Below are 16,100 nucleotides of genomic sequence, written 5' to 3' on the forward strand. Positions count from 1 at the left end.
TGTTTGTATGATTTTTTTAAATTATAATCTTGTTTCCAATTCTCAAAGTATATTTAGAGAAACAAGTATTTATCTGTTATTTAAATTCTAATTAAAACCATTTATTTAATATCAGTACTTCATTTCCTCTGCCAAGAGAGCTATGGTATACACACCCCCAAATAATTTACTTTTTATTTAGAAATTTATGACTTTTTTTCAGGAGTATAACCTACTTTCTAAACTTTATTTTCTTGAAGCCCATGCTAAAATTTTGTATCCCATGGGGCCTCTGAATTAACTGTGAGCAGCAACTGGAAAGCATGCCGGGTAAAAGAGGGACGCCAACCTGGGATAAACTTTATGATAACTAATGTATAAAATGAATTAAAAGAAACAAAAGAAAATGAGGGCCAGGCATGGTGGCTCTCACCTGTAATCCCAGCACTTTGGGAGGCCGAGGTGGGCAGAATCACTTAGGTCAGGAGTTCAAGATCAGCTTGGCCAACATGGTGAAACCCTGTCTCTACTATAAATACAAAAATTAGCGAGGCATGGTGGTGCATGCCTGTAATCCCAGCTACTTGGGAGGCTGAGGCACGAGAATTGCTTGAACCCGAGAGGTGGAGGTTGCAGTGAGCCAAGATTGCACCACTGCAGCTTGGGCGACAGAGCTGGACTCTGTATCATACACACACAAAAAATGAAACAAAAGAAAATGTTGATTGAATTATATCTACTATTAGTCAACTCTCATTTCCCTTGAACTTAGGAGAATCCATTTAGCAAAGGAGAAATAGTTATTTTCTTATCCTTCTTTTTACATTCAACATCTAAAACCAAGTGTTCTTTGTTGTTGTTTTGTGTCAACCTAATTTCAGGATTTAAATGAAATTAAGCATGAATATCCCATGTATTAATTTCTTTCATTACTGGTTTGACACTGGGATTATTGTTTATTGGTTTAATATTGGGTTAATGTTGTTTAATATTAACATTTAATATTGGGTTAATATTGCTAATATTGGGATATTGTTTATTGGTTTAATATTGGGGTTATCTATCCCACTCAAGGAATATATGACTATGCTTTTTATAGACGAAGCAACACTGATGGAATGTTGGTTGTTCTTTCTTGAAAGAGCTCCTAGTTTATCCATCGACAAGGTCTCACAGATGGTAATGCTTATATAGCAATTAGCATGATGCACTAGTCTTTTCCTATTTATACTACCTGAATATCACTCAGATTCACTTGAAAGCTCTGAATGTTAATAAAAAGAAATTCTTCTAAAATGTACTGCCAGAATTAGAGGAGAAACCTTTGCTTTTCACTTTAAAGGCATCTTCTAATTACTCTTTAGGTTTACGTTTCTTATCTATGTATTTATTTTGGAGGTGGAGTCTCTCTGTTGCCCAGGCTAGAGTGCAATGGCACAATCATTGCTCCCTGCAGCTTCAATCTCCTGGGCTCAAGCAACCCTCCCACCCCAGCCTCCTGCATAGCTGAGACTACAGGTGTACCCCACCACATCCAACTGTTTTTGCATTTTTTGTAGAGACAGGGTTTTACCATGCTGCCTAGGCTGATCTTGAACTCCTGGGCTCAAGTGATCTGCCCACCTCAGCCTCCCAAAGTGCTGGGATTACAGGGGTGAGCCACCACTCCCAGCCTAGGTTTACAATTCTATTCTTTTTTTTTTTTTTCCTCCTTTTAATTCTAATCTCATGACAGATTAGATTACATTTCTGATCGGGGAGAGCTATTATCTGCTATTTATCTTTTTGCCCAGCTTAGTTTACTATGTCAGCCAGCTGGAATCCAATTATAAAATTTCTCTCTATCACAAGAAACTACCAGAGTATAAACTTTGGAAATCTAAGACAGACTTTGTTTCAACTTTTGTTTTAACATTGTGTCCTTTTTTTTTTTTTTTTTTTTTTTAAGAGGCTCTGTCACTCAGGCTGCCTAGGGTGCTGTGGCATGATCATAGCTCACTCCTGGGCTCAAGAAATCCTCTGGCCTCAGCCTCCCAAGTAGCTAGGACTATAGGGCCCAGACCACCATGCTCAACTAATTTTTAAATTTTTCATAGAGATGGAGTCTCACTATATTGACCAGGATGGTCTTAAACTTCTGGCCTCCAGCCATCCACCCACCTCAGCCTCCCAAGGTACTGGAATAACATACATGCACCAAGTTGCTTGGCCTTTGTTTCCATTTTCACTCTGTTATTTAGTATCTATAAAAGTTTAGATAATTATTAATACCTATTTACAACATTGTTGTGATGACTACAAAAGTTGAGTATATGAAATTCTTAACATTTGAAAGATGCCAGTAACAGGTTTCTATTATTATATTAATATCCCATCTATCATTCACACACTCTTTCTCATTACAAAGATCACTATCCTATTGGATGTCTCATATATCATCCCCCAAAATTACTGAAACAAAGGATCCTTTTCTGCTTATAAATTCAAATTTTAAAATATGCTATTTTAAAAATAATTTTCATAATTCCCCAAATATTATATCCTTATTATTTAAACTGAGAAAGGGCCAAGCATGGTGGCTCATGCCTATAATCCCAGCACTTTGGGAGGCCAAGGCAGACAGATAGCTTGAGCCCAGGAGTTTGAGACTCCTGGGTGAAACCTCGTCTCTACAAAAAATGCAAAAATTAGTCAGGCATGTTGGCATGCGCCTGTAGTCCTATCTACCTGGGAGGCTGAGGTAGGAGAATCACCTGAGCCCAGGAGTTCAAGGCTGCAGTGAGCCGTGATCACACCACTACACTCCAGCCTGGGCAACAGAGTGAGAACCTGTCTCAAAAATAAATAAATACATAAATAAAATTGAGAAAGCACCGACAAGTAGAAAGAAAATCATCAGCTGAGCGTGATGGCTTACACCTGTAATCCTTGGGAGGCTGAGGTGGGGACAGATTGCTTGAGCCCAGGAGTTCGAGACCAGCCTGGGAAACATGGCAAAACCCCATCTCTACAAAAAGAATTAAATTAGCCAGGTGTGGTGGTATGCCTGTAGTCCCAGTTACTGCGGAGGCGGAGGTGGGAGGATGCTTGAGCCCAGGAGGTAGAGGATGCAGTGAGCTGAGATCATGCCACTGCACTCCAGCCTGGGTGACAGAGCCAGACCCTGTCTCAGAAGAATGAAAAGAAAATCATCCATAACCCTATTATGTAAAGACAGCTGCCATGAAATCCTACCTTTTTCAGTTACTATAATGGGTATTTTTACAAACCTTTATTAAACATTATTTTACCCCAACTATTTTGAAAAATTTCAAACCTACTGAAAGTTGAAAAATAGTACTATGATTACCTGTATATACTTTACCTTTTTCCCCCAAATATTAACATTTTGCCGTTTACACTCATACTCTCTCTCTCCAAACACAAACACACACAGACTTACACAGACATATTATACACACACAAACTCTCTCTCTTTTGTTTTCTGGTTGAAAAATTTGAAAGTAAATTGCTGGCATCATGTTACTTCATCCCTAATACTTCAGCATGTATCTCCTAAGAACAGTGACATAATCACAACACCATCATCACACCAAAGAAATTTAACACAGATTTGTTCTATTTTATAAATTGTGCACTCATTTCTTTGGTTTATTAATCTATTGCATAGATATTCCATTATTTTATATTGTTTCATTCTGATTATAAAAGTACAGTATATGTTCACTATAAAGAAAAAGCACAACTATTACAGAAACTATTTGGGCTGCTATAACAAAATATAATAAAATGCTGGCTTATAAACAACAGAAATTTATTTCTCACAGTTCTGGAAGCTGGGCAAGGCGCCAGCTATTTCGGTGTCTTCTGAGGTCCCACTTTCACCTTCACAGAAGGCATCTTCAAACTGTGTCCTCACATGGCAAAAGGGGCCAGGCCACTCTCTGGAGCCACTTTATAAAGGAACACTAACCCCATTCACGAGGGCTCCATTCTCATAATGAAATCACCTCCCAAAGGCCTCACCTCCTAATAGCATCACATTGATGATTAGCTTCCCAACATGAATTTTAGGTGGCCACAAACATTCAAATCATAGTACTTTTTAAGTAAAATTTTAGGAATTAAGTCAAAACCACAGACTGAACACATGTTCTAGCCACCTTCCTGTTCCACATTCCTAATTTGAGAGTATTATATTTATTTTAAAATCAGTAATAGTATTTCCTTAATCTATCCACTGGAAAGGCCTAGATGCAACAAACAACCAATAATAACATGTACCCTAGCACCCAGATTCTAGTCTCTCAATGTCATTCCCCTATAAAACGATCCAAGGCTCCTTAGAGATATGAATGATTTCAGGTCTAGGGCAGGAAATATATGGGATAAATCTCAGATAAATCTTTGATAACATGGAAGTTATCAAAGACTAGATAGTCAAACTGCTTTAAAAATATTGAAAACAGTCACTAGAAGGTGGGGAAACAAATTACATATTACGATATAATGATATTATTGATTGACTTCTCATCAGACACAATGGCAACCAGAAAAAATCTGAGTGACGACCAGGCGCAGTGGCTCACGCCTGTAATCCCAGCACTTTGGGAGGCCAAGGTGGGTGGATCACAAGGTCAGGAGTTCAAGACCAGCCTGACCAACATGGTGAAACCCCGTCTCTACTAAAAATAAAAAAAATTAGCCAGGCATGGTGGAGTGCACCTGTAATCCCAGCTACTCAGGAGGCTGAGGCAGGAGAATCGCTTGAACCCAGGAAGCGGAGGTTGCAGTGAGCCCAGATCGCACCACTGCACTCCAGTCTGAGTGACAGAGCGAGACCCCATCTCCAAAAAAAAAAAAAAAAAAAAAAAAAAAAAAAAAAATCTAAGTGACATATTCAAAGTGCTAACAGAGAAAAAACAATTATTAACACAAAATTCCATATCCAAAAAAATTAATCTCCAAAAAATAAAGGTGAACAAGGACATTTTCAGATAAATGAAAACTGAGAGAATAAATTGCCAGCAGACCTGCATCGTCAAAAATGCCAAAGGAAGTTTTTCAGACTGAAGGGAAAGGACACAGGGTGGCACCTTGCATTTACAGGAAGGAATATGACATGAGAAATCTTAGTGGGTAAATATAAAGGACTATATTTCTTTTCTTCTCTTAAATTACTTAAAATACCTATGACTATTTAAAGTAAAAATTATGACACTATATTGTTGAGTTATAACATCTGTAGATGTAAAACATATAATAATGATAAGAATAAATGGAATGATATTATTTCAAGGTTCTTTTATCTAAAATAATTTCATATTAATGATTATTAGATTGTAATAAATTCGGATGCATGTTGTAACCTCTAGCAATCAGTAAAAATAAAAAAGATGTAGCTGAAGACCTAGTATTTGATAGCACAACAGGGTGATTATAGTCAAAATAATTTAATTGTATATTTAAAAATAACTTAAAGAATATAACTGGATTGTTTATAACACAAAGGATAAATGCCTGAGAGGATAGATACCCTATTTTCCATGATGTCATTATTACACATTGCAAGTCTGTATCAAAGTATCTCATGTACTCCATAAACATATATACCTACTATGTACTCACAAAAATTAAAAAGGATGTAGTTGGCCGGGCGTGGTGGCTCACGCCTGTAATCCCAGCACTTTTGGAGGCCGAGGCAGGCAGATCAAGACATCAGGAGATCGAGATCATCCTGGCTAACAAGGTGAAACCCAAACGCCATCTCTACTAAAAAAAAAAATTAGCCGGGCGTGGTGGCACGTGCCTGTAGTCCCAGCTGCTTGAGAGGCTGAGGCAGGAGAATCGCTTGAACCCAGGAGGCGGAGGTTGCAGTGAGCCGAGATCGTGCCACCTTACTGCAGCCTGGGTGAAAAAATAAAAAATAAAATAAAAAGGATGTAGTTAAAACACCAATTGAGATATTAAAATGAAATGCTAAAAATAATACCAAAAATAAGCATGAAAAAAGGGGAAATAAAAAGCAGATGAGTCAAATAGAGAGCAAATAGCAAAATGGAAGACTTAAATCTAAGCATGTGAATAATCAAATTAAATATATTGGATCAAACATTTCCAAAAAGATGGTAATTAACACCCACATCATAGCAACAAAAGTAAATACAGATTAATCAAACTACATCAAAATTAAACACTTCTGTTCATCAAAGGATAATTCAACAAAGTGAAAACCTACGAAATGGGAGAAAATATTTGCAAGTAATACATTTGATAAAGAGTGAATATACAAAATATATATTTTAAAAAGTTCTACAACAATAAAAAACCTGAGTTTAAAATAAACAAAAACTGGAATAGATATTTCTCCAAATAAGATGTACAAATGGCTAGTAAGCACAAAAACAGGTGTTCAATACCATTAACCACTGGGAAAATGAAAATCAAAACCACCATGAGAATATAACCTCACGTCCATTAGGATGGCTAATAATATCAAAGAAACAAAATAACAAACGCTGATGATGATGTGGAGAAATTGGAACTCTTATGCACTGTTGGCTGGAATGTAAAATGGTGCAGCTGCTGTGGAAAACTGCATGGCAGTTCCTAGAAAAATTAAAAATAGAATTACCATATGATCCAGCAATTCCACTTCTTTTGACATACAGCCAAAATAATTGAACACAGGATCTCAGAGACATTTGCACACCAACGTTCACAACAGCATTATTCACAAAAGCCAAAAGATGGAAACAACCCAAGTGTCCAACAATGGATGAAGGGACAAACAAAATATGGGATATATGGACAATGGAATATTATCCAGCCTTAAAAAGTAAGAAAATCCTGTCGCATGCTACAAACTGGATGAACCTTGAGGACATTATATTAAATTAAATAAGCCAGTCACAAATGAACAAATATAGTATGACTCTACTTATATGAGGACCTGGCAAAGTCCAGTTCATAGAGATAGAAAGCATGGTAGTTGTCAGGTACTGGGGTAGGTAGGAATGGGGAATTATTGTTTAATAGATACAGAGTTTCAGTTTTGTAAGATGAAAGAGTCCTGCGAATGAATGGTTAGTATGATGACGTGAATGTACTTAATGTCACGAACTGTATACTTAAAAATGGTTAAGATGGTAAATTTTATGTTACGTGCATTTTACTACATTATTTTAAAAGTTTTTTTAATCCAGTAATTATCAGATGATATAAAAAACAAGACCCAGACTAGGCATAGTGACTCACGCCTGTAATTCCAGCATCTTGGGAGGCCGAGGCAGGTGGATTATTTAAAGTTAGGCGTTTGAGACCCAACTGGCCAACATGGTGAAACCCTGTCTCTACTAAAAATACAAAAATTAGCTGGGTGTGGTGGTACACACCTGTAATCCCAGCTACCCGGGAGGCTGAGGCACAAGAATCCAAGAGGTGGAGGATGCAGTGGGCTGAGATCGCGCCACTGCACTCCAGCCTGGGCAACAGAGTGAGACTCTGTCTCAAAAACAAATGAACAAAAAACACAAACCAATCACACATGCTGTCTACAAGACACATTTTAAACATAAAGACACAAATAGGTTGAATTTTAAAAGTTGGAAAGAGCATAAGAAAGTATAAAGAGTGGCTAAGTGCCTAACAGACAAAATAGACTTCAGGACACAGAAGATCACTAAAGACAAAGAGGGACACTACATAATAATAAAAAAATGAATATATCAGGCAGCTATGACCATAAAAATATACTCATGCCTACTAACAGAGCCTTGAAATACACAAAGCGAAAATGGAAATAACTCAAAGGAGAAACAAACTCACACTCTATAAATAATTATAGATGTATCACCTCTCTCAATAACTGATAATAGGGATACAGAAGATCTGAATGACACTATCGATTACTTTAACCTAATTCACATTTAATTCATACTGCACACACAAACAACACATATACAACTGGCCAAAAAGCACACAAAAAGATGCTCAACACCATTCACTTTAGAGGAATCAATATGTAAAAATTACATCCAGGTGAAATTCAGGTTACAAATATAAGATAAACATAAAATAACAATATACTTCTGGCTTAATAACTAATTCACATTTAACAACCTCTTTTTAAAAATCTTACTCTATATATTAAGAGCCAGGGTCTCACTATGTTATCCAGACTGGTCTTGAACTCCCGCCCTCAAGCAATCCTCCAGCCTTGGATTCCCAAAGTGCTGCGATTGCAGGCATGAGCCACCATGCCTGGCCCTAACAACTTCTGAATAGAATTACTTTCAAGTTTGAGCCCAGGAGTTTGAGACCAGCCTGGGCAACATAGTGAGAGACCATTTCCATTAAAAAAAAAAAAAAAAAGAAAGAAAGAAAAAAAGTTTAAGAAAAAGAATTACTTTCAAGAGTACATGGATCATTTCCCAAGAAAGACTATTCTGCACCATAAAACAAGTCTCAATTTCAAATGACTGAAACCTTACACAGTATGTTCTGTGATGGAAACAGAATTAAAATTAAATTAAAATATCTATCAGCAGATACTTATGAAACCCCAAATATTTAAACAACTTCTAAGTACCCCATAAGTCAAAGAAAAAAATCACAAGGAAATTCGGAAAATATTTTAAATTGAATGAAAATGAAAATACAGCACATCAAACTATCCACCAAAAACAGTGCTGTAAGAAATTTGTAGCTTCAAATTCTTACATTGAAACAGAGGAAAAGGATCATATTAATGATCATAGCTTTCACTTCAAGAAGGTAAAAGAAGACCAAATTAAACTCAATGAAAATAGAAGGAAAAAAATAATAAAACAGAAGGACAAACACTCAAGGAAAATCAATGACACCAAGTCTAGTTCTAGATCTATAAAATTGGCTGAGCGCAGTAGCTCACGCCTGTAATCCTAGCCCTTTGGGAGGCTGAGGTGGGAGGATCACCTGACCCCAGGAGGTCAAGGCTGCAGTAAGCCATGATTGTGCCACTGAACTCCAGCCTGGGTGACAGAAAAAAAAAATGAATAAAATTGATAAACCAGATAAACTGACAGAAAAAAGATGCAAGCTATCAATATCAGTATTTAAGAGGGGACACTTCTACATATCCTACAGACATTAAAAGGAAAATAAGAGGCTGTTATGAACAACTCTATGTCAATAAATGCAACAATGTAGAATCAATGGGTGGCAAATTCCTGAAACACCAATTACCAAAACAGACACGAAAAGAAATAGAAAATCTTAATATTCCTATATTTACTAAAGTAGCTAAACTTGTAATTAAAAGCATTCTCAGGCCGGGCATGGTGGTTCACGCCTATAATCCCAGTATTTTGGGAGGATGAGGCAGGAGGATCACTTGAGCCCAGGAGTTGGAGACCAGCCTGGGCAACATAGCAAGACCCCATCTTTAAAAAAATGCAAAAACATTAGCTGGGCATGGTGATTAGCACCTGTAGTCCAGCTACTCAGGAGGCTGAGGTAGGGGAATTGCTTGAGCCCCGGAAGTCAAGGCTGCAGTGAGCCATGATCATGCCACTGCACTCCCACCTGCGTGACAGAGTGAGACCCTGTCTAAAAAAAATTAAATATAATTTAAAAATCTCATACCAAAAACTTTAAGCTAAGAGTGCTACACTGGTGAATTTCTTAAAGGAAGAAATAGTAACAATCCTACACAAATTCCTTAAGAAAAAAAAGAAGAGAACACTTCCTGGCATATTTTATGAGGCCAGCATTATTCAGATACCAAACCAAAGATGTTAGAAAAAAAAGAAAACTACAGGCCAACATCTCTCATGAACACAGATGTAAAAATCCTTAACAAAATATTAACAATCAAGTGTAAAAATAAAATGATAAAACATCATTTGCAAGTAGGTTTATTCATTGATATGTAAGATTGATTTAATACTCAGAAATCAACTTTGTGAATACACAACTACCACTGAATTGTATGCTTTGTAAATAGGATTAATTTTATGGTATGTAAATTTTGCCTCAATTTAAAAAATCAATCATTACAATAAGAGAATAGATGGAGAAAATGTGATCATTCCAATAAATGCAGAAAAATTTTACATAAAATTCAAATACCCATTCATTATAAAAACTATGAGAAAATAGGAATAGAAGGGAAATTACTCATACTGATAAAGGATATCTATAAAATAACTGTAGGCTGGGCACAGTGGCTCATGCCTGTAATCCCAGCACTCTGGGAGGCCGAGGCCGAGGCAGTGGATCACCTGAAGTCAGGAGTTTGAGACCAGCCTGGCCAACATGGTAAAACCCCATCTCTACTAAAAGTACAAAAATTAGCTGGGTGTGGTGGCGGGTACCTGTAGTCCCAGCTGCCTGGGATGCAGAGGCAGGAGAACTCCTTGAACTCGGGAGGCAAAGGTTGTAGTGAGCCAAGATTGCACCACTGCACTCCAGCCTGGGCATCAGAGCAAGACTCTGTCTCAAAATAAAAATATAAATAAACCCTAAAGTTAACCTCGTGCTTAATAGTAAAAAAGCAGATTATCCTTCTAAGATCAGGAACAAGGCAAGTAGATTTGCTCTCACTACTTCTATTCAATGGTGACTAGAGATCTTATGCAGAGCAATAAGGCAAGAAAATTAAATACCAGGCATACATACTGGAAACGAAGAAGTAAAACAGTCTTTAACAGATAGCATGATCATTTGCATAAAAAATTCTAAGGAATCTACAAAAAAGCTACTAAAATTAATATTATAAATGAATGTAACAAAGTCAAGGGATACAGCATCAATATACAAACATCAATATATAAAGGTTGAGCATCTCTCATCTGAAAATCTAAATCCAAAATGCCCTAATACCTGAAACTTTTTAAGGGTCAACACGATGATCAAAGGTCACACTCAAAGGGAATGCTCATTAGAATATTTCAGATTTTGGATTGTCAGATTGGGGATGCTTGACTGGTATGTATATCAAATATTCCAAAATCTTAAAAAAAAAAAAATCTAAAATCCAAAACACTTCTGGTCCCAAGCATTTCAAATAAAGAACACTGAACCTTTACTAGCCATAAACAAATAGAAATTATACTTTAAATTCTGTTTACCATAGCACTAAAAATATGAATTAGTAATAAATTTCACAAAATATGTACAAAACTTACCAACTGAAAGCTACAATAGAAACTCGTAGAACTTGCTAAGAAAAACTAAAGAAGATGTAAATAAATACAAAGATATACCATATTTATGGATTGAAAGGCTGTTATTCAGAGCTCTCCATACTGATCTATAGATTCAATGCAATCACAATCAAAATCCCAGCAGGTTTTTTGCAAAGAGTAAGAAGCTATCTCTAGAATTTGTATAAACATGCAAAGTACCTTGAATACCCAGAATGATTTGGAGAAAGAAGAATAAAGTTGGAGAACTTAAAGTATCTGATTTCAAGATTTGCTCTAAAGTTATAATAATCAAAACAGTGTGGCACTGGCATACAGACAGACTTAAAGATCAATAAGACAGAATAGAAATCCCAGAAATGAACCCACAGATATATGATCAATTGATTGTGAACAAAAGTGCCAAGATAATTCAATAAGGAAAGGACAGTTCTTTCAACAAATTTGTGCTAGAACAAATAGATATCTGTAAGGGAAAATATTAGCCTTGCCCTTTAACTCACACCCTATGTAAGAAATAACTTGCACTAGGCCAGGCGCAGTGGCTCACGCCTGTAATCCCAACATTTTGGGAGGCCGAGGTGGGTGGATCACTTGAGGTCAGGAGTTCAAGACCAGCCTGGTCAACATGGTGAAACCCTGTCTATATTAGAAATACAAAAATTAGCCAGGTGTGGTAGTGTGCACCTGTAATCCCAGCTACCTGGGAGGCTGAGGCAGAATTGCTTGACCTGGCAGGCGGAGGTTGCAGTGAGCCAAGATCACGCCACTGTACTCCGGCCTGGGCGACCCAGCGAGACTCTGTCTCAAAACAAAATAAAACAAAATCTTGAAGTGAATAAGTGAATCACAAACCTAAACAAAAAAGCTAAAAGTATACAACTTATAAAAGAAAATACAGGAGAAACTGCAACCCTGAAATACACAGAGATTTCTTAAACCAAAAAAAAAAAATTCTGAACCCAAAGAAAAAAATTATAATTTGGCCTTCATCGAAAGAAAATGAAAAGGCAAGCCATGTACTAGGAGTAAATATCATCTATATATACATAAACACACATGTATACACATATACACATCTTTATATGTATCTCATAAATAACATATATATAAAATAGGTAAAGAACACTTTCCACCTAATAATACAGAGACAACCCAATTAAGAAATACACAAAAAGCCCAGGCACTATGGCTCACATCTGTAATCCCAGCACTTTGGGAGACTGAGGTAAGAAGATTCTTGAAGCTAGGAATCTGAGACCAGCTTGAGCAACATAGTGAGACCTCATCTCTACAAAAAAATGTTTAAAGTTAGCCAGGTGTGGTGGTACACACCTGTAGTTCCAGCTACTCCGGAGGCTGAGGCAGGAAGATCACTTGAGTCCAGGAGGTTGAAGCTTCAGAGAGCCAAGACTGTGACACTGTACTCCAGGCCTGGGCAACAATGTAAGACCTTATCTCTAAAACAAATTAAATTAAATTTAAATTTAAAAAAGAAAAGAAAAGATGGATGAAATATTTAAATAGATATTGCACAAAAAAGATATACAACTGGTCAAAAGCACACAAAAACATGCTCAACACCATTCAATCTAGAGGAATCGACATGTTAAAATTATATCTAGATGGTGAAATTCAAGTTACAAATATAAGTATGAAATAACAATATATTTCTGGTTTTCTGGAAAACACAACAGTTGTGACAGACACTTATCACTTTGGCCAAATAAACAGAGAAGATGGGCAGAAGAGCCATAGAGCTAAGCAAAGATTAGATTAAACAGTTCAAATAAGCCTCAGCTTTTTTTTTTTTTTTTAAATACAGGCTCTTTCTGAAACCCTTAGCTCTTTTAAGAACTAAAAATAGGAAATGTGTAGTAAATACTTCTGAAATACAGTGATTTCAGTACATTAACAAATAATCATCACTGAATTCATGCATTCAAAGAAACTTGTTGGTTTTGATCACTAAACACTGGATTCAAATTAAGTTATAGCTGCTCAGCAACATAAGCAAGGTGGCAGAATAGGAGGTCCCCAGCTCTAGTCCCCCTTGCAGAAAAAGTAATTAGCAAATATCTAAATAGCCATGTTCAAGAACACCTCTGTGAGCAGTGAGCATCCTGGGCAAAGTAGCAAGACCTCGTCTCTACAAAAAAAAAAAAAAATTAATTAGTCAGGTGTGGTGATGTGTGCCTATGGTCCCAAATACTCAGGAGGCTGAAGTGGGAGGATTGCCTGAACCTGGGAGATCGAGACTGCAATGAACCACAATCGTACCATTGCACTCCAGCCTGGGTGACAGAGCAAGATCCTGTCTTAAAAAAAAAAAAAAAAAATCTCTGTACAAATCCCAGAACCTGGGGGTGAGACTTAATCCCCCTCTGGTAACACAAAAACTAAGAAAAGCCACATTTTACAATGTGGTAAGAAAGCCATTTTACTTCCATCATATCACCTCTCTGCTGGAAAAGCACAGCACCATACCAAGAGGTATCCCCTGGGTCTACAGTTTCTCCGAGGAGCAAAAGAGAGCCCGAGGCAGACATCCAGCTTCCAAAGTGTTCAGAGGTACTTCCCAGGAGGACCACTTCTGCCTTGTCTCATGGGAAACACTGTGGATATTAATAGGGCTAAACTACCTGGGGTCAGGTAGGAACAAAGAAGTGGAGTGACGCCCTTCTGGTGACCTTACATGAACATTAAGCCCAGACAGCAGCTCCACCCACCTGCGCAGCTGATCTAGCAGCCCCATCTGGCTAGGGAGCAGAGTCAGCAATTCTGCCAACCTGAGGTCTCTAGCCAGAGGTCTAGCTCAGCTGCAGAGCTCAATCTGTGGCCCCCACCTGACTGTAGAACACATCTTGTGGCCCTGCATGATTAAGAAGCCCAGCCAGAGACCCTGTCTCACTGTGCACCACAGCCTGAGGTCACGCCCCACCATAGAGGATAGCCAATGGCCCTGCCTGATCATGGAGCTCAGCTTGCTGTCCCACCCAACGGCAGGGCCAGGTCAGCAGCCCCACCCAAACAGGGAGCCTGACCAGCAACCCTACCCTACCAGATAGCACAGTTAACAACCATGTCCAATTGCAGAGTCCATCTTGCAACCAAACCCTCTGCGAGGTACATCCTGAGACCCCACCCAACCTGAAGCTTGGTCAGCAATTCAGATCCATAGTGGAACAAAGTCAGCAACTCCACCCAGGTGGGGAACCCAGCCAGTGACCCCATCGAACTACAGAGCCCAGTTGGCAGCCTTGCCCAATTGCAGAGTCCAACTAGCAGCATCACTCCTGCTGGAAAATGCAACCTGTGATCCCACCAGACTAGAGGCAATGATGGAGCCCAGATAGTTGCCCCATATGACCTCAGAGAATGGGCAACATCCTTGTCCAACCAGCAACCCCAGTAGCAAGTCCCAAGTGCTACTGGCAGTTCCTTGCTCCCAGAGCTCCCAAGATGGTGGCAGGCCACTTCCAAGATGGTGGTGGGCCACTTCCAAGATGGTGGCAAGCCTCGTGTTCTCTGACCTGGGGTTCTTGGCCTCACAGATTCCAAGGAATGGAATCTTGGGCCATGCGGTGAGTGTTATAGCTCTATTAGAAGCCATGGGTCATGGAAGAGAACCGTGGAACCCACTGACTGGTATTCAGCTCGATTAGGATGAACCCAGGCACTTCGCCGTGCAGGAACAATGGCAAGCCTTTAGCCCGATCCGGAGCAGCAATGGGTGCCTGGCTGGATCAGGAGCACAGCGGACACCCTGCCGGACCCAGAGGAATGGAAGTCAGTGGCGGGTCTGCAACAGCGGCAAACAGCAGTGGTGGATGGCGAGCGAAAGCTCAGCTAGAGCCATAACACGGACCAGAAGAGATTGCAGTTGCAAGATTTAATAGAGTGAAAACAGAGCTCCCATACAAAGGGAGGGGACCCAAAGCGGGTAAGCCATTGCCGGCTCGAATGCCTGGGTTTATATCCTGATCATTGTCCCTCCCACTGTGCTCTCAGGCAATAGACGATTGGCTATTTCTTTACCTCCTGTTTTTGCCAAACTAGCTTTTACTGAGCTGTCTTTACTACCTGATTGGTCGGGTGTGAGCTAAGTTGCAAGCCCCATGTTTAAAGGTGGATGTGATCACCTTCCCAGCTAGGCTTAGGGATTCTTAGTCGGCCTAGAAAATCCAGCTAATCCTGTGTCTCAGATCCCCCTCTCAACAGGAAAACCCAAGTGCTGTTGGGGAGGTTGGCCAATGACCACTCTAACTGCTTCCTGCTGAACTGGGGCATAGTAGGGGTTGTGCAGTTGAGATTTCCTCAGGAGGGGTGCCCTTGATGTCATTAACATCGGACCATGGGCTAGCAGGCTGGTCCAGGGGTCCGCGGCAGATTTTAGTCATGGACTGCATCTGAGGCTCAATTTGAAGAACCATTTGTAGCTTTACAGCTTCAATTCTGGAAGAGACAAACTTAACAAGGAGGTTAAAGTTACAGTGTCCAAAGAGGAGTGACAATATTATAGCTGCTAGAGGTCCTAAGAAGGGGAGAATCCACAGTGTTCATTGGCTGAAGAGGCCCCAGGGTCCAGTGTTTTGAAGCTCCTCTGCTCTATGTTGTATTCGATCTTGAATTACTTTAACTTCCTCGGTGATGATTCCAGATTGATTAACATAATAACAGCATTGTTCCCCTAAAAATAAACAGGTTCCCCCTCTTTTGGTGGTTAGCAAGTCTAAATCTCTTCGATTTTGAAGGCCTACTGCTGCTAGGGAGTTAAGTTGATCTTGCAAGGTGACCAGGGAGTTGGCAACCCATTCCATGTCACCATTTAGTTCTTGAGATAGTTGGTAGTAGAACTGAGTAGAGGTTGTGATACCGCCAATGCCAGTACCTAGTCCAGCTAACACTCCTGCTCCAATAACAAAAGGAAGAATG

The 16,100-nt window shown here is 39.0% G+C and overlaps 1 annotated feature.

Moving 5' to 3' along the window:
- Positions 13,613 to 14,382: a transcriptional cis regulatory region, noted in NCBI's record as "candidate enhancer chr12.1615 targeted for multiplex CRISPR interference". NCBI's record gives its function as "positively regulates LETMD1 gene expression in K562 cells {active_cell/tissue: K562}" and the evidence as "EXISTENCE:mutant phenotype evidence [ECO:0000015][PMID:30612741]".

Source organism: Homo sapiens, chromosome 12, assembly GCF_000001405.40.
Source record: "Homo sapiens chromosome 12, GRCh38.p14 Primary Assembly".
NCBI classification, from domain to species: domain Eukaryota; kingdom Metazoa; phylum Chordata; class Mammalia; order Primates; family Hominidae; genus Homo; species Homo sapiens.